The sequence below is a fragment of the Homo sapiens genome, chromosome 9 (assembly GCF_000001405.40).
Source record: "Homo sapiens chromosome 9, GRCh38.p14 Primary Assembly".
Lineage (NCBI taxonomy): Eukaryota > Metazoa > Chordata > Mammalia > Primates > Hominidae > Homo > Homo sapiens.
This window is the reverse complement of record NC_000009.12, coordinates 81,777,356-81,785,129: the sequence shown is the minus strand read 5'-3', so window position 1 is coordinate 81,785,129 and position 7,774 is coordinate 81,777,356. Positions and strand designations below refer to the sequence as shown.

At 40.8% G+C, this 7,774-nt stretch overlaps 1 annotated feature.

The window, feature by feature from the left end:
- Window positions 739–1,251: an enhancer, noted in NCBI's record as "NANOG hESC enhancer chr9:84398794-84399306 (GRCh37/hg19 assembly coordinates)". NCBI's record gives its function as "activates a minimal SCP1, AML or CMV promoter by ChIP-STARR-seq in primed H9 embryonic stem cells {active_cell/tissue: H9 hESC(primed)}" and the evidence as "EXISTENCE:reporter gene assay evidence [ECO:0000049][PMID:30033119]".

The following is a 7,774-nucleotide window of genomic DNA, read 5'->3' as shown; positions in this document are numbered from 1 at the left end:
ACAAGGGAGTGGTTATGCAATATTAGGACTTCAGAGAAACTTTTATTCCACTTAGTCTATTGTTTTTTTTTTTTTTTTTTTTGAGATGGAGTCTCGCACTGTCGCCCAGGCTGGAGTGCAGTGGCGCTATCACGGTTCACTGCAAGCTCCGCTTCCTGGGTTCACGCCATTCTCCTGCCTCAGCCTCCAGAGTGGCTGGGACTACAGGCGCCCGCCACCACACCTGGCTAATTTTTTTGTATTTTTAGTAGAGACAGGTTTTCACCATGTTAGCCATGATGGTCTCAATCTCCTGACCTCGTGATCTGCCCGTCTGGGCCTTCCAAAGTGCTGGGATTACAGGCATGAGCCACCGTGCTCGGCCTCCACTTAGTCTATTCTTGACCAAGAGAACTAGCTAGGTATCACCAACACAAGTAAACCCAATTTGAGCAATTCAGGAAGAACTCAAGAATTCAAGCAGGCCACTTGTATCCCTTTCACACATTTGAATCTTACTTAACTGTCCTCTCTAATTATTCTTTGCTTTCTCCAGCCCAGACCCTTTTATGTCCCCTACTACATAGTCTTGCCAACAGCATGCACTTGATTAGGTATCTGTATTCTTTTCTAAAAGAATTGTAGTTTTCACTAGGGCAAGGGGCAGAGGGGTTAGATCCTCTCCTCCCAGCTTACTGCATTTGTGTGATTTTCAACCTAAAGCCATCTTTTTACTATTTAAAATTATATTTTTAATTTATATACAATAAAATTTACTTTGTTGATATATAATTCCAAGAGTTTTGACAAAGGCATAGAGACTATGAAAATAAGTAATTCAAAAATCTAAGCTGGTAATATTTTGAACCTTAAGAGAATGTGATTATGGGAACTGAGTCATGTAAACAGACAGCTATAACTTAGGCAGCTGTAACCTTTGTTTCTCTAATTATAGATGAGCCTTTTTCCTTACTTACATTGTTTTGTAAAATGTTGTGAATGACTTAAGTGCACCAGGGCAGACCTCATTTCTCTTCACTGTTGATCTTCATTATAGATTAACTTTCTTCTTGCCTTTCTCACATAAAGACTTCATGACTGTCACATTGTCTAGGATTGAATGTTAAATACGTACTTTTCAATAGGAAAGAAAAAAATAAGCATATTAAAAAAAACTGTAACTAATTAAATTGTTGTCACTGATAAACCAGGCTTATATAAAAAAATTGTAATCCTACTAAATTTCTTTGTTTTGGGCCTATATATGAAAGACGTTAAGTTTTATTTATTTATTTATTTATATAATTTTTTTTTGAGATGGAGTCTTGCTCTGTCACCCAGGATGGAGTGCAGTGGTGAGATCCCAGCTCACTGCAACCTCCGCCTCCCAGGTTCAAGCGATTCTCCTGCCTCAGCCTCCAGAGTAGCTGGGATTACAGCTACCTGCCACCATGCCCGGCTAATTTTTGTATTTTTAGTAGAGATGGGGTTTCACCAGGTTGGTCAGGCTGGTCTCGAACTCCTGACCTCGTGATCTGCCGGCCTCAGCCTCCCAAAGTGCTAGGATTACAGGCGTGAGCCACTGTGCCTGGCTGATGTGAAGTTTTGATTCTGGAGCACTGATCCCCACTTCTCTGACATCCATATCTGCTGGATGACCATTCCCAGCTTTTCTCTTGAATAAACTTTTAAAAACTGGATTCTGATCCTTTTGATTATTTCAGGTTGACAAGACATATAACCAAAACCATAATCAAGATACAAAAAAGTTCCGTTACTTCCCCAAACTTCCTCAGACTGTTTTTAGTCAAACACCCCTCCACGTCCACACACACACACATACAACCGACCATGGAAAACTACTGGTCTATTCTCTATCTCTGTATCTTCAGCTTGTACAGGATGATATATAAATTGAATCACACGGTATGCAAACTTCGGAATTTGGCTTTTTTCACTCAAAATAATGGCTTTGAAATTCATTAATGTTGTTGCATGTATCAAAGTTTGTTCTTTCTATTGCTGAGTAATATTCTACTGCATGAGGGTACCAAAGTTTGGTTATCCATTTCCTCATTAAAGAACATTTGGGCCGGGTGTGGTGACTCATGCCTATAATCCCAGAAGGATTTTGGGAGGCTGAGGCTAGTGGATCACCTGAGGTCAGGAGCTTGAGACAAGCCTGACCAACATGGAGAAACCCAGTCTTTACTAAAAATAGAAAATTAGCTAGGCGTGGTGGCGCATGCCTGTAATCCCAGCTACTCGGGAAGCTGAGGCAGGAGAATGGCTTGAACCGGGGAGGTGAAAGTTGCAGTGAGGGGAGATTGCGCCATTACACTCCAGCTTGGGCAATAAGAGTGAAACTCCGTCTTAAAAAAAAAAAAAAAAGAAGAACATTTGGGTTGTTTCACTTCACTTTGGGGCAAATACAAATAAAGCTGCTATAAACATTCTTGTACAACTTTTCGTGTGAACATAAGCTTATAATTCTCCAGGATAAACAGCCAGGAGTGGCATGACTGAATGATATGGTAAATATATGTTTAATTTTATAAGAAACTGTCAAACTTTTTCAGAATGGCTGTGCCATTTTGCATTCCCATAGCAATGTGAGAATTCCAGTTGTTACGCAACTTCATCAAGACTCGGTATTGTCACTTGTCTGTTTTTTATTTTAGTTATTCTAATACATGTATAGGATATCTCACTGTGATTGTAATGTGCCTTTTCCTAACAGCTACTGCCTAATGATACTGGGAATTTTTTGATGCACTTACTTGCCATCTGATATGGTTTGGCTCTGTGTCCCCACCCAAATCTCATCTCGAATTGTAATCCCACATGTCAGGAGAGAGAGCTGATGGGAGGTGATTGGATCATGGCGGTGGTTTCCTCCGCACTGTTCTCATGATAGTGAGGGAGTTCTCACGAGAGCTGATGGCTTTAAAAATGTTTGGTAGTTCTTTTTTGTTTGCCCTCTCTCCTGCCACCGTGTAAGACAGGCCTTGCTTCCCCTTCACCTTCCACCATGATTGTAAATTTCCTGAGGCCTCCCCAGCCATGTGGAACAGTAAGTCAATTAAGCCTCTTTTCTTTACAAATTACCCAGTCTCAGGTAGCACCTTTACAGCAGTGTGAAAATGAACTAATATAGCATCTATACGTTTTCTTTCGTAAAGTAACTGTCGAAATTTGCTTTTCTTTCTTTCTTTCTTTCTTTCTTCTTTCTTTCTTTTCTTCTTTCTTCTCTTCTCTTTTCTTTTCTTCTCTTTTCTTGTCTTCTCTTTTCTTCACTTTTTTTTTTTTTGACAGAGTCTTGCTCTGTCACCCAGGCTGGAGTACAGTGGAGTGATCTCTGCTCACTGCAACCTCCACCTCCCAGGTTCAAGCAACTCTTGTACCTCAGCCTCCCAAGTAGCTGGGACTACAGGCATGCGTCACCATCCTGGCTAATTTTTGTATTTTTAGTAGATATGGGGTTTCACCATGTTGACCAGGCTGGTCTTGAACTCCTGACCTCAGGTGATCCACCCACCTCGGCCTCCCAAAGTGCTGGGATTACAGGTGTGAGCCACTGTACCCAATCGGCTTTTTCTTGCTTATAGTTGAGTTTTGAGAGTTCTTTATGTGTTTTAAGTTCAAACCCTTTGTCAAATATACGATGTGTAGGTATTTTTTCCCACCCTATGACTTGTCTTTTTATCCTCTTAACAGCAACTTGGACAAAGCCAAACATTTAATTATGGTAGATTTTCTCATATAAATCTTGCTTATGGTATCATATGTAGGAAATCTTTGCCAACTCAAGCCCATTAAGATTTTTTTCCTAGATTTTCTTCAAAATCTTTATGTTTTACATTGAAGTCTATTATCCATTTTGAGGTAATTTTGTATAAACTGTGAAGTATAAGTCAAGGTTCATTTTTTTCTTTCTTTTTTTTTTGTACATGGATGTCCAGTTGTTCAAACACCAGTTTTTGAAGACACTATTCATTATCTATTGAATTGGCTTTGTACCTTTTTCAAAAATCAACTGACCATATTTTTGTGAATCTATAAGAAGTCTCTACTCCATTTTATTGAACTGTGTGTCTATCTGCTCACCCATATTCATTGTCCTGATGACTGTAGCTTTATTCCAAGGCTTGAAATCAGGTAGTATGAGTCCCTCAACTTTGCTCATTTTCAAAATTGTATTGGATATTCTACTTTTTTGCCTTGAATGTGTTTACTTTTCACCTCTGAATTCTTGGCACCCTAATCCAGGCTACCATAATATCTCACCTGCACTAAGGTAACAGTCTCCTAACTGGTCTCTCCTTGTGCTGGGTCGCTGTTCATACTATTTCTTTCTTTTTTTTTTTTTTTGAGATGGAGTCTTGCTCTGTTGCCCAGGCTGGAGTGCAGTGACATGATCTCGGCTCACTGCAACCTCTGCCTCCTGGGTTCAAGCGATTCTTCTGCCTCAGCCTCCCCAGTAACTGGGACTACATGTGCCTGCCATTACGCCCGGCTAATTTTTGTATTTTTAGGAGCGATGGGGTTTCACCATATTGGCCAGGCTGATCTCGAACTCCTGACCTCATGATCCACCTGCCTTGGCCTCCCAAAGTGATGGGATTACAGGTGTGAGCCACCAGCCCCGGCCTCATACTATTTCTCATACAGGAGCCAAAGTGTACTTTGGTTGTTTTGATTAAAGAAGAATTTTAAGGCCAGATGCAGTGGCTCACGCCTGTAACCCCAGCACTTTGGGAGGACGAGGCGGGTGGATTGCTTGAGGTTAGGAGTTTGAGACCAGCCTGGCCAACATGGCGAAACCCCATCTCTACAAAAATACAAAAATTAGCCAGGTGTGGTGGCACACGCCTGTAATCCCAGCTACTCTGGAGGCTAAGGCAGGAGAATTGCTTGAACCTGGGAGGTGGAAGTTGCAGTGAGCCGAGATTGCACCACTGCACCCCAGCCTGGACAACAGAACGAGATCTTGTCCCCCCACCAATCCCCCCCAAGAAAAGAATTTTAGTAGAAACTGGATCATGTTTAGCTTCAAAACTCTGCAATGTTTTGGGCCCCCATGCTCACCTGTCTTCTGTTTCAGTCCCACTCTTGGCCCTATCTTAACGTGGTGTTTATCACCTCAAAGCCTGTCTTCCCACTTCTGCTATATATGTCTGCTCAGGTCGCCATCACAAAATACCACAGAGTGGGTAGCTGAAACAACAGCTCTGGAGGCTAGAAGCCGAAGATCAAGAAGCCAGGAGGGTGGTTTGGGGTAAGGCCTCTCTTCCTGGCTTTTAGACAGCTGCCTTCCTGCTATGTTCTCACATGGCCTTTCCTCTGTGTGCATTTAGGAAGACAGAAAGAGAGCACTCTGCTAGCTCGTCCTGTTTTTATAAGGACCCCAGTCCTATGAGATTAGGGATTCACCTTTGACCTCATTTAGCCTTAATCACCTCCATATAGGCCTTATCTCCAATACAGTTACTTTGAGGGTTTGGGCCTCAATGTATGAATTTGGTAGGGAACACAAATCAGTCCATAAGAGTATGTATCCCTAAAATATAGGCAGGCAGATAGATTGGCAGGTAGGCAGGTGGATAGATAGATAGAGTTACACTGTGGTAAAAGATATCTAACTATATTATATTTACATCAACTAATGAAACCTAAGGAAATTGCTATTAGTAATTTTCCACTTAATAGCTATGCTTTCCTCCACCAAAAACTCATATCAATCATGTTTTCAAGAACTGTTTCCAAGCTCTACTTTTTAAAAATCTACATGTGAATTCAAATTACAAAGTAGTAAAGTCACCTCTGAGACTTCATTATATGATTTACACAATGTGATGGAAATTATGATCATACAATTTTATATTCTTCATCTTTATATCCATATACTTGAAATCTCTCCTGTCTGAAATAAGTATTTTGTAATCATACAAATTAAACTTTAACTGTTTTTTAGTCCAGGCACAGTGGATTACACAGCTGTAATTCCAGCACTTTGGGAGGCCAAGGAGAGCGGATCACTTGAGCCCAGAAGTTTGAGACCAGCCTGGGCAACATGGTGAAACTTCATCTCTACAAAAAATTAGCCAGGTATGGTGCACTCCTGAAGTCCCAAGCTACTCAAGAGGCTGAGGTGGAAGGATTGGTTGAGCCCAGGAGGTAGAGGCTGCAGTGAGCCAAGATCGTGCCACTGCACTCCAGCCTGGGCAACATAGTGAGACCCTGTCTAAAAAAAAAAAATGCTTTTTAGAGGTGTAAGGATGGGAAGAAGAGAAATTGGTTAATGTGTACAGAAATAGTTATATAGAGAGAATACATTCTAGTATTCAATAGCACAGCAGGGTGACTATAGTTATCAATAATGTATATATTTCAAAATAGCTAGAACATTTGGAATGTTCCCAACACAAAGAAATGATACCTATTTGAGGTGAGAGAGATCCCAATTTGATCATTACACATTGAATGCATATATCAAAATATCACAAGTATCCCATAAATGTGTACAATTATATATCAATAAAATTTGTTTTTAAAGAATGAAGCCAAGAACTTTATTTCTAATAAAAAGGAAATTTCTTTTTAAAAAACAAAATCCTTTATTTAAAATTATGTGGACTGAGCGCACCTGCAATCCAAGCACTTTGAAAGGCCAAGGCAGGAGGATTGCTTGAGCACAGGAGCTGGAGACCAGCCTGGGTAACAGAGTGAGACCCCATCTCTACAAAATAAAATAATAAAATAATTAGCCAGGCATGGTGACATGCACCTGTAGTCCCAGCTACTTGGGAGGCTGAGTCAGAAGGATTGCTTGAGCCCAGGAGGTAGAGGCTGCAGTGAGCTGTGACTGTGCTGCTGCATCCCAGCCTGGACAACAGAACGAGACCCTGTCAAAAAAAAAAAAAAAAGAAAGAGAAAGAGAGAAACAAACAAACAAACAAACAAACAAACAAACTCAGGAGGCCGAGGCAGGAGAATGGCGTGAACCTGGGAGGCGGAGCTTGCAGTGAGCTGAGATTGTGCCACTGGACTCCAGCCTGGGGACACAGCGAGACTCCATCTCAAAAAAAAGAAAGAAAGAAAGAAGGAAGGAAGAAAGAGAAAGAAAGAAGGAAAGAAAGAAAGGAAGGAAGGAAGCCTCTGTAGAGAAGAAAAGTGTTATTTTCAAAGCCTTTTAACTATTCAAGTTTAGTGTAATGAAAAAAATTATAATCCTTATCTGGCACTGGAGTCATCATATTTCTAGTAAATTGGTTAAATTTTCTTTCATTACATCTCTCAGAATTTTGTCCTTTTGAGGAAGGCAAACAACTCAGCCTCGGCAATACTGTGTCTTATTTAACAATCTATTTCAGTCTTATTCTTGGCAGTTACCAATGACCTGGCGCTGTTGACACATTTTCAGTGTGTGTGGCTATGTGTGAAATGCTGCCATGTTGCTATTTTCCTACACAGCTCTCCCCTTTGATCACCAACCTTGTCTTGTCTCCCACTCTCCCTTGCAGCTCTAATTGTTTTTTATTCCTTTGAAACCATCTGGAAAAAAAGAAGGTCCTTAAAGAATAGTCTCCTTTCCAGTCGTTGCTGCCAACTTAGAAATATTCCAATTTCTTTCTTGCTGTGTATTTTTAGTTTGCTAAGAAGATTTTTTCTTCCCACCTAGCGAAGATTAGTTAAAACCTAGGTCTACCCGATTGTCCTCCAGCGGTAACATCCCAGGGCCCTCAGGTGTCACAGTGGGAGGATTACAGGATTAAAAATAAAAACATTTTATTTT